General features: G+C 50.0%; 1 protein-coding gene across 17 annotated transcripts in view, besides 4 other annotated features; it reads left to right on the top strand.

Annotated features, from left to right (window-relative positions):
• Positions 1-27,420, top strand: part of TOM1L2 (target of myb1 like 2 membrane trafficking protein) — a 128,890-nt gene that overhangs the window by 93,860 nt on the left and 7,610 nt on the right. For 11 of the 17 annotated variants that reach the window (XM_047435389.1, XM_047435386.1, NM_001033551.3 and 8 more), the window contains 5 exons: positions 9,068-9,201; positions 11,617-11,665; positions 12,122-12,245; positions 15,693-15,810; positions 16,990-17,065. In XM_047435389.1, the coding sequence (XP_047291345.1) occupies positions 9,068-9,201; positions 11,617-11,665; positions 12,122-12,245; positions 15,693-15,810; positions 16,990-17,065 (501 nt within the window). Of the gene's footprint in view, positions 1-9,067; positions 9,202-11,616; positions 11,666-12,121; positions 12,246-15,692; positions 15,811-16,989; positions 17,066-20,685; positions 20,773-27,420 lie in introns of all 17 variants that reach the window. The other 6 variants (NM_001288789.2, XM_011523662.2, XM_005256466.2 and 3 more) reach the window with 1 other exon arrangement.
• Positions 521-1,242: an enhancer, noted in NCBI's record as "H3K27ac-H3K4me1 hESC enhancer chr17:17780613-17781334 (GRCh37/hg19 assembly coordinates)". NCBI's record gives its function as "activates a minimal SCP1, AML or CMV promoter by ChIP-STARR-seq in naive and primed H9 embryonic stem cells {active_cell/tissue: H9 hESC(naive and primed)}" and the evidence as "EXISTENCE:reporter gene assay evidence [ECO:0000049][PMID:30033119]".
• Positions 1,603-2,802: an enhancer, noted in NCBI's record as "BRD4-independent group 4 enhancer chr17:17779053-17780252 (GRCh37/hg19 assembly coordinates)". NCBI's record gives its function as "activates an origin of replication core promoter dependent on BRD2, P300/CBP, MED14 and CDK7 cofactors, and independent of BRD4, by STARR-seq in HCT116 cells {active_cell/tissue: HCT116}" and the evidence as "EXISTENCE:reporter gene assay evidence [ECO:0000049][PMID:35650434]".
• Positions 18,393-18,442: an enhancer, noted in NCBI's record as "active region_11815". NCBI's record gives its function as "activates an Ori minimal core promoter by ATAC-STARR-seq in GM12878 lymphoblastoid cells {active_cell/tissue: GM12878}" and the evidence as "EXISTENCE:reporter gene assay evidence [ECO:0000049][PMID:35858748]".
• Positions 19,216-19,716: an enhancer, noted in NCBI's record as "H3K27ac hESC enhancer chr17:17762139-17762639 (GRCh37/hg19 assembly coordinates)". NCBI's record gives its function as "activates a minimal SCP1, AML or CMV promoter by ChIP-STARR-seq in primed H9 embryonic stem cells {active_cell/tissue: H9 hESC(primed)}" and the evidence as "EXISTENCE:reporter gene assay evidence [ECO:0000049][PMID:30033119]".

Raw genomic sequence — 27,420 nt, 5'->3', positions numbered from 1 at the left:
TTGTGCCCCCTTCCTACTCCAAAGCCATCGGCTCTTATGGGGGTGAGGGTGGGTGGAGACCTGTTCCAGGCCTGACACAAAACACAGTCCTAGGGGCACAGAGGTGCATGAGCTGTGGTCCCTGGAGCTTGCAGCTTTTTGCAGGAAATAGACCGGGAAACAACTTGTCTCCATGTAACTACACCAGCCTGCTCTTGAAGCTGAGAAAAGTACCCTTGGCCCAGCCCCAGTGAGGAGTCCTGAGTGGCCTCTCCCTAGTTCCCAGACCTCACTCCTGACACACCTGCATCAGCCCAGGCTTGCCTCAGCTCAGCAGATCCAGCTGAATATGTGCCACACTCCAGGGGACCTGGCTTCCCTTGAATGCATTGTCATTGGCCTCCATTCCTAGCCTGCAGGAAGGTTCGGCCAGGCGTTACCCAGATGCACAGGATTCTGAGGTCAGTCCAGAAACTGAGAAGGCCTCTTGAGGCAGCTTTGTGCTGTGTCAGCGTCGGAATTCCTGCTGACAGGGGGGATTTGCTCTGGATAGAGCCGTGCTCCTGGCAGCAGGGGGTGTGTTGAACAAAGCCAAGATGCTTCCAGACAGCCAGAGCAGACCCAGACAGCAGGAATACTTCGTGTTTTGGGGGGAGAGGGGGTTTGGGATTTTTTTTTTTTTTTAAACAAGCCCATCAGCCAAGACAAACAGAACCTAATCTCCTGGCGTCAGCTCACAGCTTTCAAAAATAGGTTGCTTCCCATGACGTTTTCCTTCCCTCTGTTTTGTTCCAACTCCAAGCCTCCCAGCCCTCACTGCTATCTTATAAATCAAATAGAAAAGGAATGACTCTCGGTGCCAGTGGGAGGCTGTCCTTCCAGCAACAGCAGATTCAGGAGCTGGGCAGCACTGTGGACAGCCGTGAACAGACACAGCCGTCCTGGCTGGTTGGCTGCACGCCTCCGCCATTGCCGACATCTTCCCACCCCTTCTTCCCCTGGCAGTCAAAAGCCAGCAGGCAGGGTCTCCCAAGGGTCAGAGCCACACTGAACAGCCAACCTTCCATGTGGAGAAATACCACTGTCTGCTTAGAAAGTGCTGGAATCAGAATGTGTCCCCAGGACCCTCCATCAAGCTGGAGGGCAGCCAGAGTGCTCGGGGCAGAGAATACAGAGCTGAGAGTGCTGGCTAGGCCATGGAAACAACCCAGATGTTCCCACCAACAGAAGCTGCTCCCAGTTCAAGTATAAATTCCTGGGGTAGGAGGTGGGGGGAATAGGAAGAGAGATAATTGGTGGTGTCAGCCCTAGGATGATCATAACTGTGGGCAGGTTATGTCCCGGTTGCCTCCTGCACATCGCAAAGCACTTTTGGGTGTAGCTTCCCATAGTGAAGCAAGAGCAGCAGGGAAGCTTGGCAGTGTGAGCTGTTTGCCTGCAGACTCATGGGTATGTGGCTGTATTTGAGGAGAGGCTGAGGCCACTCTAGCACCCTGTGCTGTCAGCGTAGCTGGAGCGCCTGAGGAGAAGGAAGGAAGGGTGCCCAGAGTGAACACAGCAACTCCTCCTCTTGAGCTATGCGTCAAATCCTCCACTCTCTGAGTTGGGAGAGACCTTCCAGGAAGTTGGTTCAGTTCTACACCTGTGTTCAGATTTCTTCCACAGCATCTTATCTGTTGGGTCTTTCTGCGTGTCCCCAGTGACAGGCTGTTCACAGCAGCCCTCTTGCTTTCAAATGGACATCTTGGTTAGACTTCGGGCAGCAGCACAGCAGGCATACAAATTACACAGGCCTATGAATTAATGCCTCCCCATCCTTGCCCTCCCACTGATGAGCTGGGCGATGCCAGGTAAGTCACCAGCCGTCTCCAGGCCCCCTTCTCCTCTCTAGACTGGAGTGATCACTTGCACCTTGGCAGTGCCTGGCGCAGGGCTGGGCTTAGGCAAGGCCTCACAAATCCTAGCTTTCGTGACTATTGTTAGAAAGCCCTTTCACACATTGATCTAAGGTGTGGCTCCCTATAACTTTGATCCTGGTCTGTCTTCTTAGACACTAGAACAAGACTAATTCCTCTTTCACATGGGTAGATCCTTAAATATTTGAAGATTGCCATAAGCCCCACCCACTGCACAGTCTCCACATGGAACAAATGTGGCATTTGGCAGCATTTGGCAGCCCACCACAGGGAGGGATAGGCAGTTCTTCACAAGAAGCAGACATAAAATGGAGAGCTTCCATCAGCTGAAAACCCTGCTGCGTCACTTCTCATCTGGTGGTTAAGCCTATCTTTGTCATCCTGTTCAAGGAACCTTAGGTCTGGGCCCGAAATTCAAGACACTGCATCTGTCCCTGCTAAAGTGCATGCCCTTACCTGCAGAAAGCCTGAGTTTGGCTTTCTGGGATCTTTAAAGATTGCGATTATGTCATCCAGTGTCCTCTGTCTCTCCCAATTTAGCCTTTTGAGCTTTGTCTTCAATGAATAACTTTTAATTAATACAATGATGCCAAAAATATATGTTCTTCTGTGGCCGTTCATCAGCATAAGATAATAACAGAGGCCTCCTCGTTTCTCCAAGTAGCAGATGGTGTATCTCCTCTTGCTTCTTGCGTCTCATTTCAACAAAGACAGAACGGCCAAGGCCATTTTCTCTAGAGAAATCTAGTTTATTCTACATGTTTAGCTTCATTATTCCCCTTTCTCATCAACAAAGACTTTTTTCTCCCTCCCATCTTTGCAGCAACAGAAAACAGATCTTCAGGACCTTATTCCGTGTTCCTTCAAACTTGTGGAGGGCTCAGAGGAAATCCATAAAGATGATTAAAAGACTGTTGCGTGAGGTAGAGATGAGAATGTCCCTTGAAGAAAAGATAAAGGCATTGGGATTAATTAGATAGAAAAAAGAGGATATTTACCAAGGTGTTCTAATAGTTGGAGGGCTTTTGTACAAGTGACCAGCTGTTCTTCCCTCTGTTGAGGACCAGAAATGGGAGAAGGCCAAAGCTGAAGTCGTCAGCGTTTAGGAAATTCCTGTCCTGGCTGTTGCACAGTGGAAAGGGTGACCTGAGCAAGCAGTAGGCTCTTGGGTGTCTTAGGCCCAAAGAGAATCACACTTTGAGTGATTTGGAGGTGGAGGAAGCAGAGGAAAGTCTCCCAAGTGAGCCTGCTGAGGGTCTGGCTGTGATGACACCACAGAGGACATGCAGGTGGCCGGCTGGCACTGTGGTAGCAAAAGTCTTTAACATCTGGCCCTCCTTTCACCTTCTCACCTTCTGTCCTTTTTTTTTTTTTTTCTTTTTTTCTTTTTGAGAAGGAGTCTCGCTTTGTCACCCAGGCTGGAGTGCAATGCCATGATCTTGGCTTACTGAACCTCTGCCTCCTGGGTTCAAGTGATTCTCCTGCTTCAGCCTCCCGAGTAGCTGGGATTACAGGCACCTGCCATCATGCCTGGCTAATTTTTGTATTTTTAGTAGAGATGGGGTTTCACCATGTTGGCCAGTCTGGTCTTGAACTCGTGACCTCAAGTGATCCACCAACCTCGGCCTCTCAAAGTGCTGAGATTACAGGTGTGAGCCACCACGCATGGCCTTTTCTTCCTTTTTGAGACAGGTGTAAAAGACTGAAGCCAAGAGATGGTAAAGCTTTCTCTGTGCAGAGACCCCTGGAAATCCCTGATGTGGAAGCCCCAGGTCATAGTCTCTGGGCCTGTCTTTAGCATAGCTCTTTGGAAAGCCATCAGGATGCTTCTCCAGGATTGGAGCATAGAGGCCCTGCCTGTGGGGTTGGGAGCTGTCTAACCCACCACCCCAGTGGGAAGGCTGTGGGGAAGAGGCAGCAAACACAAGGCCAGAGCAGATGTTCCTGGTGCTGACTGTTGATGAGATCACTGCATTCTGTGCCCTTGGGGCTCATTCTTCCTCCAAGCTGAGGTCACAATGTTAGAGCCTCAGAAATCATCTAACACTTTCCAAACGTTTTTTTAAAGTAATGGAGGCCAGGCATAGTGACTCACACCTGTAATCCCAGCACTTTGGGAAGCTGAGGCAAGTGGATCACTTGAGGTCAGGAGTTTGAGACCAGCCTGGCCAACATGGTGAAACCCCATCTCTACTAAAAATACAAAAATTAGCCGGGTGTGGTGGCGGGTGCCTGTAATCCTAGCTACTTGGGAGGCTAAGGCAGGAGAATTGCTTGAACCTGGGAGGCGGAGGTTGCAGTGAGCTGAGATCGTACCACCGTACTCCAGCCTGGGTGACAGAGCAAGACTCCATCTCAACATATTAAATAAATAAATAAATAAATAAGTAATGGCTGGGCGTGGTGGCTCACGCCTGTAATCCCAGCACTTTGGGAGGCTAAGGCGGGCAGATCATGAGGTCAGGATATTGAAACCATCCTGACTAACATGGTAAAACCCCGTCTCTATTAAAATACAAAAAATTAGCCGGGCTTGGTGGCAGGCACCTGTAATCCCAGCTACTCGGAAGGCTGAGGCAGGAGAATGTCATGAACCCGGGAGGCGGAGCTTGCAGTGAGCCGAGATTGTGCCACTGCACTCCAGGCTGGGCGACAGAGCGAGACTCCCATCTAAAAAAAAAAAAAAATAAGTAAGTAAATAAGTAAATAAAGTATGGAACCTTTTCCTCCACAAATAAAATTTTACAGTGAATGGCAGTGTTTAAAATCGAGAAAAGCAGAGCAGCCTCAGCTGCCCTGGCCCCGTGCCATGGAGGCCGCTGCAGCATGACAGTGGCCTTCTGCAGAAAAACTTCCTCATGAATGCAGCCCCCTTATTTTACCCAGGGAGAAGCAGGCCTGGAGAGGACTGGAGACTTGGAGAGTGTATCCAGTCACAGGCTACTTGCTGCCTGCAGCTTCGTCCCCAGCACCCAGCTGGGGCTAGGGCTCTGTTGAGGAGACTGACATCAACCCCTGCTCCCTTCCATCAGGCCGCCGGTGCTGGGAGTATTTGTAGCCATGTTTCTGAGACACTTCCTGCAGTCTACTGAGGAATCTGGTTTGGTTCTCCTCTAAATCCAGTGAACCACCCTTGAGGCCTACTCTTTGTTTCGGGGCTTCTGCTGTGTGGAGTGCAGATGGGGGCTGGTCACCCCTTGCTGGAGGTTTTTGTAGAGGGGCTCTGATGACAGACTGGAGTGTGTTGAATGCTTTGGGAGTCTTGAGGAGGGTGGGGTGGTGGGAGATCCCCAGAAAACATTGTATGTGGACAGGAAGATGAATAAATGGGAAGTACGTGTTAAAGCTGTCACTGTAAAATGTTAATGGTACAATCTAGGTGATAGGCATATGGTGTCTGTTCACTGTAAAATTCTTCCTGTTTTGCTGTATGTTTGAAAATTTTTATGACAAAATACTGGAGTGGGGAAACATCCTGAGGCCTTGAAGGATGAGTAAGAGTTTGTTTGATGGAAAAGGAAATAAGGGACATTGCAGGCAGATGGCCAACTTCTCAGGAGCCCTTAAGCAGTGTGGCAAGTGCCTGAGGCCACCTATATTCTGGAAAGTCTGAGGTGTATTTGAAGATGGCCTGTGGGCCTTAGGTGCTGATACCCCAGTCTTCTGGAGGGTAACTTGGATCTGTTTCCCACAACCTACTGCCACACTCCCCTGACTTGCACGTCCTGTGCCTTGTGATTGGCCTGCAGTTTGCATGAGAAGTGATTGACTTTTTTCCTTCTCCCTCCCCAGCCAAGGACAGCCAGGGCTTGCTGCTAGGCCACAAGCCCCAGAGGCCACACTTTCTTGTAATGGGCCTGTTTGCTGGAGGGGGTGGGTCCTGAGCTGGGACTTGAGATCCTTTTGCTCATCAGAGATTTTCCGCAGACACCTGGAGCGCTGGAGCAAAGAGGAGCTCAGCAGTGCCTGGCTCGGTCCTCATGTGTGTTGGCACGTCCACATCCCTGGGGAGGAGACCCGCACGGTGGCCCGGAACAGTCCATGGCAGAGCAGAGAGGCAGAAGTTTGTTTGACCTCTTTTCTCTGTCCTACTGCCCAGCCTCCCTTTTCCATCCTGCACACTTTGGCCAGGTCTCCCTCTGGTGCTTCTTCCAAAGTATGGGGTAAATCTACTGCCCAAGTGTTGGCCAAGTATCCTTTTTTTCTTTTAGGAAGCAGGGGAGGATGGTCTGTCAAAGTTAACCTAAATCTGTGCTCCTCTGTCAGCCCTGAACAGATGCTCACTGTGTTTTAACAATCTATTAGAAATACTATAATTATTTTAATTGTTCACTTCAGTCCTGGCTGTTGGAATCCTTCACGTGATCTATGTGATTGTTTCTTTCATAAGTTTGGACATTTTTATTTTGTTTTTGTTTGTTTTAATGTTAAGGGCCTGCCTTGGTTTTCTGCATCACTCCTGAGTATGCTTCATTCTGTAATGAGTGTTTCCCCTGTGTTGTTGGTTTTCCTGTGTACAGTAATTGTGACTGGGTTTTGACCTGTGAGTGTCCATTGGCGCCTGTGGCCATTATTGCCTGGCAATCCAGACCACGTCTGGCAGGCCCCAAGGCCCAGGCAGCTTTTTGAGAGCCCCTCTCCTGCCTGGCCTGGGGACATGAGCCATTCACAACAGAGGAGAGTGGGTATTTTGTGGAGTTTTCTCTTTACTGGATAGTAGTGTCCCCTGCAATTAAGATCCCGTATTCACCTCTTATTAATTCTAGCACTTGTCTGTATGTTTATAAGTGCTTACTGCTGGTTCAGTGGGGCCTGGGATGAGTCCTAGAGAGGGAAAATTAGATCCTGGATGAACAAGAATTCCCCATTCTCTGAGTGAAGAGTGCTGAGAAGACTGAGAGTATGTGGATAACTGAGCTGGTAATTTGCGGGGACCAAGAGTTCAGAATACTTTATATTTTATTTTTATTTTTTGGAGACAGGGTCTCACTCTGTTCCCCAGGCTGGAGTGCAGTAGTGCAATCTCTGCTCACTGTAGCCTCTGCCTCCCGGATTCAAGCAATTCTCCCACCTCAGCCTCCTGAATAGCTGGGATTACAGGTGCATGCCACTGTGCCCAATTTATTTTTGTATTTTTTCGTAGAGATGGGGTTTTACCATGTTGGCCAAGCTGGTCTCAAACTCCTGACCTCAAGTGATCCGCCTGCCTCGGCCTCCCAAAGTGCTGGGATTACAGGCATGAGGCACCGCACTTGGCCTCTGAATACTTTTTTTTGAGATGGAGTCTCGCTCTCTCTCCCAGTCTGGAGTGCAGTGGCGTGATCTCGGCTCACTGCAAGCTCCGCCTCCTGGGTTCACGCCATTCTCCTGCCTCAGTCTCCCAAGTAGCTGGGACTACAGGTGCCCGCCACCAACGCCCGGCTAATTTTTTGTGTTTTTAGTAGAGACGGGGTTTCACCGTATTAGCCAGGATGGTCTCGATCTCCTGACCTCGTGATCCATCCGCCTCGGCCTCCAATAGTTTTGGGATTACAGGCGTGAGCCACCACACCTGGCCCCGGCCTCTGAATACTTTAGAGTCATTAATTAATTCTCTCAGAAGTACTTGGGGAGAGCCTCCCATGTGTCATGGGTACCAGGGAAATACCTTCTCTGCCCTCAAGGAGCTTCAGTCTAGACGGGAGGGCAGATAAGAAGCCCAGCCCCTGTGTGAGTGCTGTGTTGCAGGATACCAGGGACATGCAGGGGGGATGCCTTTGATTCCCCACTGGCTGATTGACCACCTTGGTGATGTGTTCAGCAGATGATTACTGGGCTTTTTCACTGTGTGTGGCTCAGTGCGGGGCTTGAGGGCATCCTTGAGTGGATAAATGGTAACACCCCCTCAAGAGTTTATGATGTGGTAGGAAGGAAGACCCTGTAGCCAAGCTAGCAAGATTATGAGACAATATGAGGAACTAAAGAGAGATTGCCGTGTCTCCTGTGAATAAATCAGTTACTTCTACCAGAAACGGTTTCAAAATGAAGTCGTTTTGAGGCTGAGCTGTGAGAAGGAGAGACTTATCCTTCATGTCTTATCCCCTTAACTCACTGGCACCCTCCAGTGCCCAGGTAGGTGGGAACAGCATTTCCCTCTGCTTTAACCCTGTATGGCACACTGGGACTTGTAGCTTTGGTCACATGCTTGGGGGCCAGCCTGGCAGTGTTGCCAGCTCCCTCCTCTGTAGCATCCTCAGTCTGGCATCGAGATGGCAAGGGGCCTGGCAGGAATTGACGGAGCTCTGTAAGCAAGTTTGAACAAGGGCATCAGTAAGTCTGCTGTTCTGGAACAGGGAAGGCTCATGGAAGCCAGGCCATAAAGTGCTAAGGCTCTGTCGTCACGGGGATGTTGCTTCTAAGGGTAGAGAGGGCTCCAGGGGCAACCGGGGGTGTGCGAATTTCCTCTTTCGGCCAGCCAGGGAGCTGCCTGGGCTTCTGAGGTCTCGGCAAAGTGGCAGACGTGCCACCAAAATATACCTAATGCAGTCATAAAATACACTCCTGCTGTTGCTGGAAGTGTAAGTAAACTGATGTCATATTTTTGGAGGGCCTTTTACTATTACTAATTAATGTTATAAATGACCATACCCTTTCACCTAGAAATTTCCCTGCTAAGGAACCTGTCCTATGGAAGTGCTTGCCCAAGTGCATATGCATGTGTGTGTACAGGTGTTCATTGCTGCATTATTTAGGTTGGCCACAAAAAGAGAGACCACAATCTAAATGTCCAGCAATAGAAGAATGGCGAGATACATTATGAAACACACAGAAAGGAATGAGGCAGTCTGTACCAAGTGATGGAGAACGGTGTCTGGAATATTTTGTTGAGAAAAAGCAATCTGGAAAGAATCACATTTTAATATTTTTTAATGATTTGTACAAGCATGTACTTGTATACATACAACAGTATGTCTGGACATTTGTCTGCTGAAAAAGTACTTGTTTCCTCTGCGGAAGGAGGGGCAGGCAGTGAAGAGGGAACTTCTACTTTGAATTCGGCACATGTCTGGTTTTATGAACAAGCATGTACTCCTTTTGTGACTTTTAAGAATCAGTACAAATTTTTTCAAAGGAGATAGAATGTGACGAAAAGCACACCCAGCAGGCTACCCAGAGGTGCATGTGTTCCCTAGGAGCTCAACAGGACCTGTCGGGCCATGCAGCAGCGCATCGTGGAGCTCATCTCCCGCGTGTCCAATGAGGAGGTCACCGAGGAGCTGCTGCATGTGAACGATGACCTCAACAACGTCTTCCTTCGATACGAGAGGTGGGAGCCGGATTTCTTTTTTTTTTTTTTTCCCTTGAAAAGATTGTTGCCATAACAGAGGGATTTCTTTCATAAACAAAGGAAAGAGAGGGAGAGGGAGAGAGATTAGAGTTGGAAAATACTCATCAGAGATGCTAATTTGTTCCCGGCTGACAGGAAAAATGCTTCTTGTCCTCCTGGGAACTGAGCAGCAGAAGCAGCAGGAAGTTGACGTGCAGAATTAGGCTCTGCCCTTTGTAAGCCTCAGGCTGCTCTGCCTTTCCCCACTGCCCCGCCACCCCCAGCCCCAGGGAGGGGTAGCACTTGGGGGCCTCTGGGCCCCAGAGCTTCTGCACCTGCTCCTTTGATGATCCTTTGAATTTGAAAAGGATTAAAGGGAAAAAAAATCTCTAGTAAGAAAAAGGATTTCCTCTTTCCCATCTTAAAAAAAAAGAAAAAAGAAAAAAAGCTTTTCCCTTTGCAAATGTCAATGTTATCTAGAGCATTCAGGGGAAGCAGGCGGGTGTAAGTGCCGGAATGCTGCTGCTTAGGGAAGCGTGCACACATTCATTCCAGTTCTTTCTGCAGCCAAATCATTTTTGAGTTTGAGGTAACAAACCTGCAAATTCTTTTTCATTTCCAAAGCCTTCCCTCAGGACAAAGTCCAAAATGTCTTATTTAGACCTAGTTTTAAATAGGAGGAATAATGGCAAGCACAGTTCCCATCTCATCACCTGATGGGAGCACACTGGGCTTTCATGAAGGACTCAGCATAAGGACCAGAAAGGACCATGATCAGGCCAACCTTTTCCCCTTAAAGATGAGGCTTGAGAGGACAGGACAGTGGCTTGAGTCCCCTGCAGATTTAAGGTCCTGGTCCCCTCTGCCGCACCAGCTGACTCACAACCTACTGCTGGATTCATCAGGAGGACAAGGACCTGGCATCAGTTAGGGTGAGTGGGACAGATGCTTGCATTTGCGTTACCCTTTGGGGACCTAAAGGGTGATTTTGTTATGGCTGTCACAGCCTTGGGCCTTGTCTCATCTTTTGACTACGGAAGTACACACCAGTGGCTCTGTGCCCACCTGACAGGTGAATAAACCTCTGCAGTAAGTGTGGGGGCATCCCCAGGACCCCCCAGTGCATCAGTTGGAGAACAGGAGCAGATATAAGGGGACCTGACTCCCAGCCCGAGGCCCCTTTGTCTTGCCATGTGATTCCAGTTTCTCCATGGTAAATGGGCTTGGGTTTAACCTATTAAACCTATTTAAGCCCTGCTAGAAAGCATAACAGGAGCTAACTAATATGAGTATTTTCACCCAAGAGTCTCCCAGTCCAAGCATTACACATAATTCAGAGGCAAAGCCTGGGGCTGGTGGCTGGAAGTGCTATCCTGGTTAGAGTGTCTTTGATGATACTCATTGTTCATTGAAGATGAGTGTGGGAAAGGTACCCCAGGATTAAAATTGTTTCAGATGTATTAATATTCCTGTTCTCCTTGTAGACCACTGTTGAAAAAACACACAAGTCGTTTTTAAAACCACAGTGGACACTCACTGCCTTACCCAGATCATTCCTCCTGGGGATCTCTTTCTTGTCACCAGCTGCTGACCCCAGCAAGTTGGGAGACAAATCTGGAGCAGCATAACTCACTAAAGCTGGGTGTCTAAGGCTCCAGCTGGAAAAAGTCTCTTAGCTACCGCTGCCCATGGCATTTGGAGTTTTTAAATACGATACAGAACATAATCTATTCTGCCCCACCCCAACACACACCTCATAACTACTCTTCCGTTCCCCACCTGACAGGAGGATGACCTGGCCTTCGACAGTTGCTCAAAGCCAACTCCCCCTGCACTGCCTGACTGGGTGCAGAGGACACTCACTCCACCCTCCTAGCAGTCCTTCGATGACTGGCCCAGGCCTCTCTGTAGCAGCTACTGGCGAGCATTTCCCCAGGCCGTAGCCAGGGCCATGCGTCCGCCTTCCTCCTGCTGGTGCCCACCCTATGTGTGCCCCACCCCCTTTCCCCAGAGGCTGAGTTGGGAGCATGTTAGGAACACTAGCTAGTTGCTCCTGAACACAGCCCTATGAAATAGGGAGTCTGCAGCTCCAAGGTAAGGTGGTTAAGCCACCCTCCCTCCAGGGCCCAGGTGTGTGAGGAGAGGCTGGGGACACTCACAATGACCTCCATGATGGGCCAGCCACCACCCCTTTCTGATGCCCACTCTGGGTGCTGGGTGAGAAGCTGATCCTCTCAGGGGGAGCCCCACACAGAGGAAGCCGTGGCAGAGTTGATATATGGTTTCACTCCCTAGCCCCCAGGTGGGACTGGCTGGTCTTGGTCCCAGGGATTCTTCATAGGACTAGTGAGCACCCCACAGGGCCATATCACAGGCATCCTCTCTCCTTACTTCTGCTTTCCCTTCCCCTGTTAGGTTCGAACGATACAGGTCTGGCCGATCCGTTCAAAATGCCAGTAATGGAGTAAGTATTCCTTCAGAATCCTGTCATCTCCTGAGGCCAGACCTACCCCTCCACGTTTTGGAGGCTGGAGAGACCTCCAGTTTTTCTAACTGGTTTTGAAATATTTGGGAAATTGAAGAGGCAAGCTCTGGTTGATGGGATACTAGGGCAGAGCTAGCAGGCACCCCTGATGGGAAGGTGGCAAGCAAGCCCTAAGTTTGCATCTCCCAGGACAGTCACTGTTGACTCAGCAACCCCTCCTTCTAGTGGGGACGGGGAGGAGGCAGTGAGCAGGGCTCACTGACATCCAGGCCCACCATGGACCTGGAAGGCAGGTGGGGGAAGTGGCCTTGCTTCTGTACTAGAGCAGCGCTGATACTTTTCTTCTTGGAACCCTGCATAGTTGCCTTGCCAGCTTCTACCTCAGAGCCTGACTCCAGGGTTCTGGGGCTTATGGCCAATCTCATGTTCTGACAGGTACTGAATGAAGTAACCGAAGACAACTTAATAGACCTGGGGCCAGGGTCTCCAGCCGTGGTGAGCCCAATGGTGGGGAACACAGCGCCCCCATCTTCCCTCTCCTCCCAGCTTGCAGGCTTAGGTGAGTGTCTCACAGGGACAAAAGGGCCTACCTACTTCCTACCACTGGCCTCCCTTGCAGGCCACCTCTCTTTCTTTCTTGGAAGACCCAAAGAGAGTCTTTTGGGAAATACATGTGAAAGTGTATTCCTGAGTCCTAGCCAGTTGTACCACCTTACTTTCAATTCATACCTTTTTTCCCCCTAAATTTGAAGTTTAAAATCTATGTTGGAAAGCAGGGATGGGGGAAATTCCAATGAATTAAAGAAAGGTCACGGCCGTGCGCAGTGGCTCACGCCCGTAATCCCAGCACTATGGGAGGCCGAGGTGGGTGGATCACCTGAGGTCAGGAGTTTGAGACCAGCCTGACCAACATGGCGAAACCCAGTCTCTACTAAAAATACAAAAATTAGCTGCGCATGGTGGGCACCTGCAATCCCAACTACTCGGGAGGCTGCGGCAGGAGAATCACTTGAGCCTGGGAGGTGGAGGTTGCAGTGAGCCGATATCGCATCATTGCACTCCAGCCTGGGCGACAGAGCAAGACACTGTCTCAAAAAAAAAAAAAAAAAAAAGAAAGGTCACCTGCCATGTTTTATATGGAACATTCCCTATGATTGAAGTAATTTCCTTTTCAATATTAACTAGGTCAAGGCCGGGCGCGTAATCCCAGCATTTTGGGAGGCTGAGGTGGGTGGATCACTTGAGGTCAGGAGTTTGAGACCAGCCTGGCCAAAATGGTGAAACCCCGTCTGTACTAAAAATACAAAAAAATTAGCCAGACTTGGTGGCGGGCACCTGTAGTCCCAGCTACTCAGGAGGCTGAAGCAGGAGAATTGCTTGAACCCGGGAAGCAGAGGTTGCAGTGAGCCGAGATCGCGCCATTGCACTCCAGCCTGGGGGACGACTCCATCTCAAAAAAATAAATAAATATTAACTAGGTCAAGGAGGGCAGATAGGTTTCAGCTCTTTGGCTTCTTGGAACACAGGTTTGAGGAGGATGCTGAAGCCACATCAGGGCTTAGAAAAGTCTGTGATTGATTGATTGTCAATATCTACAGAGGGCTTGGAAACAGGAGGTAGCAGCACTGAAATATTTGCTCTCCTTGAACTTTACCATCAGCCTAAAGCAGTCCATTGTCTGGAACTTAAAAGAAACTCACCACTTTCCACAGTTCATTTAGTTTGTACATTCAAAGTGTGTATATGACTCTAGCACATTGGTTATACTGGATGATACCAATTTATAACAAATGAAATTATAACATTGAAATAATAAGCATGGCCCTCAAAATTCTTTCCTCTGTCTTGCTTTTCTGTTTTCCTTTTTAAAAAATATTTCTCGTCTACTTTCCTTTCATTTGACTTGAGTTAAACTTCTAGTGGCTATCAGTTGCTGTAATTGTAGCTTCTCAATATTTCGTATATTTGTAGCCACTATTTCTGTATCAGAACAGATGTCTCTGCCTTCAGTCAGTCCAGCATATATGACTGCCAGATTTAATACTTAAAATTCAAAGTGTAACACCGGTAATCCCAAGACTTTGGGAGGCTGCGGCAGGTGGATCACCTGAAGTCAGGAGTTCAAGACCAGCCTAACCAACATGGCAAAACCCCATCTCTACTAAAAATACAAAAATCAGCTGGGCATGGTGGTGTGTGCCTGTAATCCCAACTACTAGGGGGGTTGAGGCAGGAGGATCGCTTGAACCCGGGAGGCGGAGGTTGCAGTGAGCCGAGATTGTGCCACTGCACTGCAGCCTGAGCAACAGAGCAAGATGCCATCTCAAAAAAGAAAAAAAAAAAAAAGCCGGGTGCGGTGGCTAACGCCTGTAATCCCAGCACTTTGGGAGGCCGAGGCGGGTGGATCACAAGGTCAGGAGATCGAGACCATCCTGGCTAGCACGGTGAAACCCTGTCTCTACTAAAAATACAAAAAATTAGCCAGGCGTGGTGGTGGGCGGCTGTAGTCCCAGCTACTTGGGAGACTGAGGCAGGAGAATGGCGTGAACCCGGGAGGCGGAGCTTGCAGTGAGCCGACATCGCTCTACTACACTCCAGCCTGGGTGACAGAGCGAGACTCTGTCTCAAAAAAAAAAAAAAAATCAAATTGGATTCTGCTACCTCTCTTCTTAAAAAAGGTATAGTAGGCCAGGCATAGTGGCTCACGCCTGTAATCCCAGCACTCTGGGAAGCCAAGGCAGGCGGATTGCTTGAGTCCAGGAGTTCAAGACCAGCCTGGGCAACATAGCAAAACCTCATCTCTACTAAAAATACAAAAAAATTAGCTGCGAGTGGTGGCACACACCTGTAGTCCCAGGTACTCAGGAGGCTGCAGTAGGAGAATCTCCTGAGCCCAGGAGGTTGAGGCTGCAGTGAGCTGAGATCATGCCACTGCACTCCAGCTTGGGCATCCAGAGTGAGACCCTGTCTCAAACAAAACAACAACAACAACAAAAGTGTAGTGTCCACCAGGGGTGGTGGCTCACACTTGCAATCTCATCACTTTGGGAGGCCGAGGTGGGAAGATCACTTGAGGCCAGGTGTTTGAGACCAGCCTGGGCAACATAACGAGACCTTGTCTCTACAAAATAATTTTAAAACAGCTGGGCATGGTGGCACATACCTGTAGTCCTAGCTACTTGGGAGGCCAAGGTGGGAGGATCACTTAGCCCGGGAGGTCAAGGCTAAAGTGAGCCATGATCATGCCAAGAGAGTAAGACTCTGTCTCTTTAAAAAAAAAAAAAAAAAAAAGTCTAGTGTCTTCCCACCCACTCCTTTACCTGGCATTTGAGGTATTACCAGCCACTTCCTCCACAAATTTTTTCCTGTGAGCGTTGTTCACTTCACACACCCTGGCCTCCAAACCCCGTGCCTTTTTATCTGCCTTTCCCCTTCTCCCCACAGCATCCTCCTCATTATCCTTACAGACCCACTGTTGTGTTGGTTTTGAGTCTTTCCTGATGTCTCAAGCCAAGCACTGCTGTGGCTTGTCTCTTGCCCACTCTGACCTTCTTGAAGCTGAGGACCATATCAGATTCAATTTGGTCTACTCAAGATCTAGCTCTGAACATGGTGGGTACCTAAGAAATATTTGCTGAATAAATAGATGTTCCAGGTCCTTGGACATTGTGATTGAGTTAATGAGGAGCCCAAGCGAGAAGGGCATTATGGAAAATCTGCAGGTGCACTGGCGCCAGTCCCTGCCTTGTCACCCCAGCAATCTCTTTTTTGTTATGACTCTTTCGCCTCCTTGAGCAGTTTGAGGGGCAGTGGCTGTTCTGTCCCCCATCTGGCCCGCCCTGGCTCCTCCGGCATGTGGTGCACTGGGAGTACCAAGGAAAGTCCCGCCCCACCCTCCCCATGGAACCTAAACCCACCTGGCTGGCGTCCTAGCTTGGGGGCCCTTCATCAGATCTACAGTCTACATTTTGTTCTCATCTGCCACCCATTTGTTTTGTTGCCACAGACTTGGGGACAGAGAGCGTCAGTGGCACCCTCAGTTCACTCCAGCAATGTAATCCCCGTGACGGCTTTGACATGTTTGCCCAGACGAGAGGAAACTCCTTGGCTGAGCAGCGCAAGACGTATGTGGGGCCCCTTTTAGTGGCTCTCTAAAGATATTGGGGGGATTGACCCATGCCTGGTCACAGGCCAGCACAAAAAGGCATTTATTTACCATGTCCAGGACTGCCAGGAACTTTAAAGCATGGCTGTAAGGACTTGGCATTAGATGCAGATACTGAATAAATACCAACTGCCCACCTCCTCCCCCACCCCCCCAAACACACACACACTCTCCTGCCCTTGGGGTTGATTGGAGTGTGATTTCTCCTGTCAGTTGTAAGAGACAGCTTTTCTCTTTTCTCCCCATGCTGCTGCTGCTGCAGACACCACCCTGCCTGGCCCCTCATCCACAGGAGAAGCTTGGAAGCAGGAGGGTGCAGCCATGCAGGGTGAACCCATTCCTTACAGCGAGATTTTCCTGACTAAAATAAGTGGTCAGAGCAGAGGCTCCTCTGATAGCAGCTCTGGCTAGGATGAGCCATCTGGAATTCAGGGAGTTGATTCCAAAAGAGAGAATCTCCTACATCTCAGGGAGGCACTGTACATGTTTTGAGCTTTCTGTTCAGCCTAAAGGCGGGTGAAACACACTTTTTCCCACCTTTCCCAGGGACCCAGCATCTTGGTGCACTCAGCACCCTGAGTCCTGCTTGGGGCTCAGTAGGGTAAGCAGAAACCCAAGGTCCCATGTACCCTTCACCACCAAAGGTTGATTGTAAAACAGATATAGCTAAAGGAGTCGGAGAGTGGAGGAAGACCTCCCATAATCAGTGACAGGCCCGGGTCCCAGAGACCACCTTCCCTGTCAAATGCCACTGAGGCTGCTGCTAATAAAATAAGAATTAATGTTACTTTGTGTTTATCTAGTCTTCCCTCTGAGGAGTATTAGGGCACTTTGGACATTCAGCTTCAGAGATGCTCAGTATTGTTACTCAAGAGAGGGATGTTGAGGTGCACAAAATCTGAGATCGCAGAGATTAGTGGCTCAGCCTGAGCTAGGACCCAGGCCTCCTAGCATCCACTGCAGGGAGACAGACAACATGAGCCCTTAGCCTCTGCTCAATGTCAAGGTTTCAGGAAATGTTTTTCCAAGGACATCTGAGGAAGGACCATAGGATAGAAGTGATTACAGGCCACTACCCCATCCCTCCATGACCACTGGAGGAAAATGAACTCTGCTTGTGCTGCTTCTTCATCTCCAGGGTAACCTATGAGGATCCTCAGGCTGTCGGAGGACTTGCTTCTGCACTAGACAATCGAAAACAGAGTTCAGAAGGGGTAGGTCTTTAACCCTGTTTTTCTGCCTGGAGTCTTCTGGAGGGAAAGTCAGGTGGTTTGGCAAAGCTGGCTGGGTAATTCAGCAGAAACTGGCTTGCACAGGGGGCAGGGACACCCTGGGGGAGAGACCCACGGGGGACACCCCGTGGAACCCAGGTAGTGCCTCATTGAGTCTTCACCTCACCCCGTGAGATGAGGCCACACATGAGCTTCCCAATCCACCCAAGAGAAAACAGTCCCAGGCAGGTGGGAGACAGGCTGAGACACCCAGAGAGCAGACAGCAAGCTGGGGTTCCAATCCTAGGATTAGTGTCCATTTCCAGAACCCCTGCTGTTCCTACCACAGTGGCCCCAAGTTCTCCAGGCACAAGTCTCCTATGGTCACCTGTTACAGTGCCACAGGGTGGTCAGTGCTCTGATAAAACCATGGCCTGCACCAGGAAGGACAATGCTGACCCGAGCCACATCTCTGATGGCCATTTGTCACTGGCCTAGCAGAGCAGTACCAACCCCATTAGAAGGCACTCGAGAGCCAGGGTTTGTTTACAGAGCTGGTGCAGTTGGGTGGTGGCTGGGAGGGTGTCCTGTGGCGGTGAGGGGGTGCGGCACAGTGAAGTGGAGGGAATGGTATGTGTTTGGGCCTCCCCAAACATAACCATGCTTTCTGTACAATTTCGGATTACTGAAGGGGAAAGAATGTGTGTCTTAATGCTTCTCATGAGATTTTTGTTTTTGCCTAACAAAGAAATGTGTATGAATGCACGTCTGTTTGCAGGGGCAGGGAGGAGGAGGGTCCTTGGAATAGCTGCCGACAACAGCTGGAACTCCTGTCTGGGTCCCCCAGCTGGGCTAGAGAGGGCAGTGATCATCTGTCCACTGGACAGGAAGGTTTGCAAAGGGCTGTTTGCTTACTGGGTCCCAATTTTTAGCCTTCTGAAGCCCCTGTCCAATGGGCCCAGGCAGGCAGCAGTGCTGGTTTCCACGGGATGCTCCTTCTTGGGGGAAGGGACTCACTCCCTCATCCATGCTGGTCTTCACCTGGTGGATCTGAGGGCATGCATCCCTCTGCACTGGTCACCAGAGGGCGCAGAAGAGCCAGCTGGCTGCCTTGGGTCCTCAGTGCCGTGCCTTTCCACAGGAGTGGGCAGTGCCACCTGAACCCCTGAGACTGGGACACTCAAAATCAATGCAGTGCTCATGGCTCTGATTCTCCCATTACTTAGAATGTCCTCCCACCTGCCCCAGCGTGGGCATTAGAGAGCCCAGCCAGGGGCCTACCAGGATACTGCCTGGTGAGGACATCCCCTCCTCGTGGCCAACCCTGGCCTGCACTGGGAGCAGCCCTGTTGTGCCCCTATGAGGCTGACCTCATTTGTCCCTCACTCTGGGTCCAGGACCTGCCTTGTCCATGCCAGGGTGTGTCCTGCTGCACCCCTGCCATTATCAGCGCCCAGGCCTGGGTCTGAGCCCAGGAGATGTGAGTGACTTCCCGCCCTTCACCCTTTGTGTGTGTGGCTTGGACTAGCTCCCTGTTTTCAAAGGTCCTGATGACTCCAGCAGGTTTTCCACCCAGCAGTAGGCAGATTGCTTTTTTTGAGATGGAGTCTCGCTCTGGCGCCCAGGTTGGGGTGCAGTGGCGCGATCTTGGCTCACTGCAGCTTTCCTCTCCCAGGTTCAAGCGATTGTCCTGCCTCAGCCTCCTGAGTAGCTGGTATTACAGGTGCCCACCACCACAGCCGGCTAATTTTTGTGTTTTTACTAGAGACAGGGTTTCACTATATTGGCCAGGTCGGTCTCGAACTCCTGACCTCAGGCACTCTGCCCGTCTTGGCCTCCCAAAGTGCCGGGATTACAGATGTGAGCCACCATGCCCGGCCATCAGATTGCTTTTCATGTTTGCTGCTCCATGGGGCAATGCCATGGCCACAGCCTTAGCGATACAGGGCAGCAGAGCATGTGGGCTGTGTGTGTCTGTGTGTGTCTACACATATTCTTGCCCACCTGCAGCATTTCAGGTTACCTTGTCCCATCCCAAGCCATGCTGACCTCGAAATGAAAACGAGGCCAAGGGAGAAATTAAGAACACAATAAAAAAGGGGAAGGCTGGGCACAGTGGCTCATGCCTGTAATCTCAGCACTTTGGGAGGCCGAGGCGGGCGGATCACGTGAGGTCGGAAGTTCGAGACCAGCCTGACCAACATGGAGAAACCCCATCTCTACTAAAAATACAAAATTAGCTGGGCATGGTGGCACATGCCTGTAATCCCAGCTACTCAGGAGGCTGGGGTAGGAGAATCGCTTGAACCCAAAGGCGGACGTTGCAGTGAGCCGACATCATGCCATTGCACTCGGGCCTGGGCAAGAAGAGTGAAACTCCGTCTCAAAAATAAATAAAATAAAATGAATGGGAGAAAATCGTGTAGCCGCACCTCTACAAATCAAATCCAACCAAGTCAGTCAAGAAAAGGTCATCCCAGGGCTGGGCGCAGTGGCTCACGCCTGTAATCCCAGCACTTTGGGAGGCCGAGGTGGGAGTTCAAGAACAGCCTGGCCAAGATGGTGAAACCCTGTCTCTAATAAAAATGCAAAAATTAGGGCCGGGCACAATGGCTCACGCCTGTAATCCCAGCACTTTGAGAGGCTGAGGTGGGTGGATCACGAGGTCAGGAGATTGAGACCGTCCTGGCCAACATGGTGAAACCCCATCTCTACTAAAAATACAAAAATTAGCTGGGCGTGGCAGCGCATGCTTGTAATCCCAGCTACTTGGGAGGCTGAGGCAGGCGAATTGCTTGAACCCAGGAGGTAGAGGTTGCAGTGAGCCAAGATCGTGCCACTGCATTCCAGCCTGGCGACAGAGCTAGACTCCATCTCAAAAAAACAGAAACAAAAATTAGCCAGGTGTGGTGGCAGGTACCTGTAATCCCAGCCACTTGGGAGGCTGAGACAGAGAATTGCTTGAATCCAGGAGGCGGAGGTTGCAGTGAGCCGAGATCGCACCACTGCACTCCAGGCTGGGTGACAGAGCAAGACTCCATCTCAAAAAGAGAAAAAGAAAAAGTCATTCTAGCTACTCAGGAGGCTGAGGCGGAAGGATCACTTGCGCCCAGGAGTTTTTGAGACCAGTCCGGGCAACACAGTGAGACCTCATCTCAAATAAATATTTTAAAAGGCAATAATACACCTAAATTTAGTATTCAAGAGTTTAGAAAAAGAATACACATGCCACTAGAAAAGAGAAAAAAAAAATGTAGGAAAAAGAAAAAAGTAGAATTGCTTTTGTAAAAGCTGGTTCTTTGAAAAGTTGACCCCCTCCCAACCCTGATAGCCGTAATTGAGAGAAGCGGCTCTGGTCAACCTTCTGTGATCTCCTGGAGATTTTCCAAGGGCACGGGAGTAGTTGGCATGAGTATGTGTTATCCTGTTGGGATTCTTGGTTACTAAACTTTTCTTCTTTTTTCCAGGCAGGTAAGGGGGACGTGCTGGGGTGGAGGTTGGGAGCAGGGCATCACATTTCCTTACGTGGCAAAGGATCACGTCTGAAGAGTGACTTTTCTGTTTCCACAATATGTGCTATTGACTTCTTTCTCATGGGTCTTGCTGTGACTTTTCTTTCTGAGACTTTTCTGTCCTCGGCCCAGAAGAGAGGTAGAGGTGGGGAGTCTGACCTGGAGCCCATAGACAGCTGGCTTATAACCCAAGGAATGGTGAGGAGTCACCAGCCGAGCCAAGCCTGCTGTCCACCCCAGCCCCTACCTGTGTAACAGCTCATGTCTTCCTCTTGTGACCTGCCGAGCCTTTGTGAATCAGACAGTACAAGGCCACACGCTTTCTTTCTGGCAGGGGTGCCAAATTTCCCCTCCTATTTTTGCATAATCTCTGTAAGCCACAGATTCCCAGTCCCAAAAATACCTCCCTGTCCCCAGGCCTTAAGAGTCTGGGACATTAGCAGGGATGAGGAGAGGGTCCTTTCCTTCCTTTTACTGTCTCCGGAGCTCCGAGCAGTATTCACTTTTCCAGGATGAGCACAAGTTACTGTGGCTTTTGCTTGGGAGGGAACAATTCTAAGGGAACAGACTCAAAGCATCTGACCAGTCAGGGAAGCCCTCTGTAGCCCAGTGCCTGTGAATTTGGCAGTCCTAGGCTTGACAGATTTTTATAATATAGTTGCTTATATCCACTAAGTCCGTCAAAATGATTTGAAACCTCTTGAAGAATACACAGGCCGGGTGCAGTGGCTCACGCCTGTAATCCCAGCACTTTGGGAGGCTGAGGCAGGCAGATCACGAGGTCAGGAGATCGAGACCCTTCTGGCCAACATGGTGAAACCCTGTCTCTACTAAAAATACAAAAATTAGCTGGGTGTGGTGGCATGTGCCTGTAATCCCAACTACTTGGGAGGCTGAAGCAGGAGAATCGCTTGAACCTGGGAGGCAGAGATTGTAGTGAGCTGAGATTGCACCACTGCACTCCAGCCTGGTGATAGAGTGAGACTCCCTCTCAAAAAAATAAAAAAATAAACACAGTAGAAACAGAGTAAAAAGAAAACAAAGCCCAGGGGAGTTCAATGTTGTAAACACAGTTGGTTCTCATGTAGCAGAGCTTTCCTGGCCCACAGACCTGCAAGGGTCTCTCCTGCCTTGTCTGTTCAGGTGGCCTGAGCCTGGTGCATGGAGAGAGGGTCAGCTCATCTCAGGCTGTATGTCTTGGGATGACCATTTCACCTCTAGCAGAGCCCAAAGCTGTGGTACATGTGATGGAGCCTGAGCTGGAGAGAATGCAGAGAAGGAAAGATGATGAAAGCAGTGCAAACATGTGCCTCTCCCTCCAGGTGGGGTGGGGTGAGAGGAATACATAACTGCCCATAGTGTGCTATGCTAGGCTGTGGCCAGAGGAAAGGCCAGCAGGTCCTAGACTGCAAGCAGCACAGGGTCCACCTGCTTGAGCAAAGCGTGACCAGTGAGTAGGAACTTGGGCCATGCAGGATCACCCAGAGCCGTGGGAGCAAGGGGCATCTGCCTGCCACCCAGCTTGGGCTGGTGCCCTCTGCACAGCTCTGCTGTCAGCCTGGGCAGGTCTCCTGCCACCTCTCATAGTAGCAGCATACTGCTGCTCTGCGTGAGAAGGCAGTTCCTCCACTAGACCCCAAGCCCATTCTTAGAGAGATGTGCTGGCCCAGGCCTCTCATTTGCTTCTTCAGGGACAGGCTGGCCTCTGGCCCACATGTCAGGGGCCTTTGCAGCAGGGCTTCTGGAAACCATGTCCATTCATTGGGAAGATCCAGCCCACATGCCCTTGTGCCTATTAATCCTGCAAAAAAGGATACTGCCCACACAAACTCCCCTGAGGGTGGCCTTGGCAGCTGGTGGTGGTGCCTGTCTCTGCCCACACAGACTGCCTCGCCACTGCCAGGTCCCACGTAGAGCTCCAGTCTCTAACTTCCCAGAAACAAACCTAACTAACAGCTAACCTGGTGTCTTGCCTGACTGACTGCAGTTTGTTTTTTTTTTTTTCTTTACAACAAATATTAATTGCTTTGCCTTATTTCCCATAGTGTAGAAACCTTGAGTCTTTTCAAGCCTCCTGAGTACAAATTCTTTACTTGGAAACTTTTTGTACTATTGAGTGAGATCAAAGGCTTTTAGACTTGGTCCCAGTGGGGTGGTGCTTGAAGTGACATAGGAAGGGATTCACAGCTTCTCTGGAAATAGTACACCTGAGCTACAGAAATTGTTCTTGTTACATTGAAAACTGGACAGGTGGGTTTCCTTGTGGGCATGGGGCTGTGGGAAGCTGCAGAGGAGCATCTGTTGGAACCCTTATGCTCCTGGGACTCAGGTGTGTGGATAGCCAACACAGAAGTTAACTGACACCACCAGGCTTATTACTGGTTGAAGAGAAATGAGACTTGTCAATGGGCTAGGGCCGGGCGGCTCTCAGGGAGACTGCTAGGCTTGTGCTCTCCCTCCCTGGCCTCTCTAGTGTGAGGTCTTTTTGCCTCTCTTGGCTGGTGATCAGCTAGGGGTGTCTCCCTTTTGCAGGGTGCAGCCAGGAAAATATCCTCATGTGAGAGAATCTAAGTCAAAACAAGAACAGAGGTAGGTTAGTAAAGAATGCTGCTGCCAAAACCCAGGCTTGGGTTTGGAGGGCGGGACTCCCTCCTCAGACCTGGAGGCCCCCAAGGCTCTTACTCTGGAAGGATAATCCTAACCCCTGGAGTACCAGACAGACATGCCTCTCCCCCTTGGGCAGGCAACCCTCCCTCCTGATCCCTGAGGCAGAGCTGCCCCTGCCTGCAGTTCCAAGTGAGAATCAGCTGACAGCAGGATGGCTCACCTGCCACTCAGATCAAAACCTGTGGCTTCTGACATCCAAGATGTCTGTGGACTTTGAAAATGGGCAGGGCTGGTCTAACCACTGCCTCAGCCAAGCCAGCCTGGCCTACCTATCTTCAGAGGGGCTGAGCTTCAGGCAGCAGTCTCTATTGGAGGGCATTCCTCTGCTAGCTTCCTTCCTTTTCTCTCTTCACATGTCTTCTTCCTTTCTGTCCCTCTCTTCCAACTCATACGCTTCTTCAGATCCCTCAGACCAGCCTTCAGCTTGGATCATTGCCCAAGAAAATGCTGAAACTATGGCATGTCAGGCTGGGTGCAGTGGCTCACATCTGTAATCCCAGCACTTTGGGAGGCCAAGCTGGGCAGATCATTTGAGGCCAGGAGTTTGAGATCAGCCTGGCCAACATGGCAAAACCCTGTCTCTACTAAAAATACAAAAAAAAAAAAAATTAGGCAGGTGTGGTGGCTCACGCCTGTAATCCCAGCTACTCAGGAGGCTGAGGCACAAGGATTATCTGAACCTGGGAAGCAGAGGTCGCAGTGAGCTGAGATCGCACCACTGCACACCAGCCTGGGCAACAGAGCAAGACTCTGTCTCTAAATAAATTAATTAATTAAATAAATAACTAAATAAATAAATAAAAATAAAAATAAAACTATGACACATCAGAGCCAACAGCCTTCTTAGGAATCTGCTGGGCCAGCCCCTAGTCTGACAGATGAGGATACCGAGGCCTCCTAAGGGCCTGGTGTCTTGCCCAAAGCTGCAGGGAAGAAACAGAGTCCCCTAAGACTCAGCGCAGTGCCCCCTGCTCCAACCAGGGCCCCACTTCCCTCCCATCAGCCTGACAAGGAGCGCGTCCTCGGCCTCCCACAGTTTCTTTGGTTCATATTTTCCAAGCAGTGTACATGTTTAGTCTGAGTCTGATAGCACCTACATTATTAGAAGGAACTTTGCCCTGTTATAATACTCAAGGCATTTATTTACCAGGACAAGAGGTTTAGATAGCTAAGGTTTTGTGTCTGGCCACAAGAAAGTCAATTTAAGCTTACGTTATATAAGCTTAACTGTTAACCATCACCCTGCTCCACCATGGTTCACGCCCTGAGGCCAAGTGGCTTCTATATTGTAATGAGTCAGTTTCCATAATTTCTGACATCCCTGGGTTTCTGAATTAGAAAACAGAAGCACCAACCTGAAAGTTAAGGTTTCTGAGTCATAAGAATTGAAAGCCAAATACAATCTAGCAATCGCCTTATTTCACAGATGAGGAAATTGAGGCCAAGCATTGCTCAGGCCTCTGTCCCCTGCTCCTGCCTCTCCACCCAAATCTCTAAGGCTTCTTAGGATAGAAGAAACTCAGGAGCTCTCCGGTGAAGAAAGTGGGGTCCAGAGAGGAGCGACTCACCCCAGGTCCTGCCACCAGTGAGTGTGAGGGCCCAGATGGACCCCACCCAGTGCACTCTCCTCAGCGTGCCCTCTAGGGCTTGGTCTGGAGGATGCCATTCCATAAACATACTACTTATTTGGAAAAATCTAGGACATGGAAGAAAAGGGTTCCCATGAGCCAGCTTTTGGGAAGTTATTTTTGAGGAGGTGAGGAATTTCTTAAGTGTCATTGTTTATTTTCTGAGCATGTTGGCTCTCAAGATTTATCCCCAAAGAAGAAAATTAAAGTATGACCCCAGGCCTCAAGGGATTTGTTCTTTAGCAGCAACAAAACAATTACAAGAAAAATCTGAAGGTTTAAGGCCCCTGACCCCTTAATGTCTTTGTTGTAGCTTTTGCAACACATTGGAAAGCTCAGGACATCTAGTCTGTTTCTGCTAAGTGGACAAAAGCTGGTCAGGTGTAAAGAAAGGGCTGGTGCACACTCTAACCGCTAGTGTGGGACTATTTTCTCTCTGGAGATGCTGCTGACTTTCTAAGCTTCAGTTTTGGGGACTCAGCATGGCATGCGTCCTCCCAGAGGCCACACATTCTGACTTACAGTCATTGAGAGCATGATAACTGGTGTGTCCTGTTCCAGGAATGTCTCAAGGCAGAAGGCCTGCCAGCAAGCACAGAGTAGCAGTGTACCCTACTGCCTTTTGATGGGCAAGGGCAAGGAAGTGCCAGCCTTAGGCATTGTTAACACATCTGTCAGTCATTTGTGCGTCCATCCCCCCAGTGAGGACCCACATGCCTCCTGTCCCTAGGTTTCATGTCTGGGTGATAAGACTCCCTGATACCTTTTCAATTCAATGTTCTTTTTTTTTTTTTTTTTTTTTTTTTTAGACAGAGTTTCAGTCTTGTTGCCCAGGGTGGAGTGCAATGGCGTGATCTCGGCTCACTGCAACCTCTGCCTCCCAGGTTCAAGTGATTCTCCTGCCTCAGCCTCCCCAGTAGCTGGGACTACAGGCGCATACCACCACACCCAACTAATTTTGTATTTTTAGTAGAGACTGGGTTTCTCCCTGTTGGTCAGGCTGGTCTCAAACTCTTGACCTCAGGTGATCTGCCCGCCTCGGCCTCCCAAAGTGCTGGGATTACAGGCATGAGCCACCGTGCCCTGCTCAATTCAACATTCTTAACTCCCCAGTAAGTCAAAGAAATAATGAGCAACACAGACTCTTCCTAATCTGATCAGTGACTGGCTTGGGCCTTTCTGAAAGTGCTCTTGTGGGCTTCCCACATTGGGTCCGAAGTTAGGACACAGAGCACATTCCTCAGAGCAAGGGGCCAGCTGAGCTCACTGAGGGAGTGAAGAGCTCTGGTGGCATCGTAGATACCTGCTCAGAGTGCTGGACTCTACCTGGGACCCCAAACCACCCTCCCCCACCATCAGCAGCAGGTGTCAACCCCCAGGACTGGAGTTGTCACATCACTGCTGGTGATATGTGTTCTTTGTTCTTTTTCTTTGTGAAGGTCGTGTTATTTTTTACATTTGATAGACACTGGGGTATGCATTCCTTTTACTGCTTATTTTTACTTTAGTCTTACCCTAGATCATGGCATTGGGTGAAGCCAGCTATAGACAGAGCTGGCATTTTTGTAATAGAAATAGGGGTCTTGCAAGTGAGCCCCGGAAGGGTACCTCCCAGAGCCAGGGTAGGTGAGGAGGTGATTAAGGGTCATCACCTCATTTCTCTAGGCTGGGAGCCAACATTCCATTAACATGGCTTCTAGGGAGCTTCTTATCATGTCATATTTGATGGCAACTTAAACCTTTTTAGCCATGTGCATTTTTCAGAGTCTCTGTCCCTGAGGTGCTTGGCACAGGGGCCCAAGCAAGGTGACTGCTCAGGCAACCCCGTGGTACACCTTAGTATGCCTGGAAGCTGTCACCTCCCTGGCTCTGGCTGCTGCGCCCCAGTGCTCAGCTGAACTTGGTTTCTTTGACTCCTGAAGCACAGCCAGCCATTGAACACAGGGAAGAAAGGACGAGACTAAAGGGAGCTGTTGCTTTCAGGGCTGCTTCATGAATTTCCCCTAAAGAGACACAAAGAAGACTAAAGCCCCATAGTCCCCTTTGTCATCAGAGCCCTCGTTTTTGCTGTGTTTCTGTTGATGGTAAAATGTGCCTGCCTCTGTCTACCAGGCCACACCCAGCCCAGCGGAGCACGCACCTCCTCCAGTTCCCCTCTCCACTCAGAAATGCACCAGGACGCATTTCAAAATCTCTTCAGCGGAGCAAACAGACCCCCTGCATCCCCCCGGGGCTGGTGCTGCCCTGCCCTCTGAGCACCTGTACCCCGCTCTGGGCAGGCTGTCACTTGGCCTTCCCTGGGTTGGGCTTGACAGCGGACTGTCATAGTGGCTGAGTTCAAAATCAGCCTGCGTGGCAGCGCCTTCCTGAAGTTAGAAGGTGTTTTGCAGCCCCGGGCTGAGAGGCCCCGCAATGTGAGAGTGGACACTCATAGTCAAAAAGTTCTCCATTTCAAGAACGCGTACAGCCACCTTCCTTACCGCCGGCCCTGCCGGGAGCCTGCTTCTTATCATTTGCACCTCATTGCTTTCCTCACCTGCCATCTCACACG

This window comes from Homo sapiens, chromosome 17 (assembly GCF_000001405.40).
Source record: "Homo sapiens chromosome 17, GRCh38.p14 Primary Assembly".
In the NCBI taxonomy this organism is placed as follows: Eukaryota; Metazoa; Chordata; class Mammalia; order Primates; family Hominidae; genus Homo; species Homo sapiens.
The sequence above is the reverse complement of the archived record's forward strand: the minus strand, read 5'-3'. Positions and strand labels throughout refer to the sequence as shown.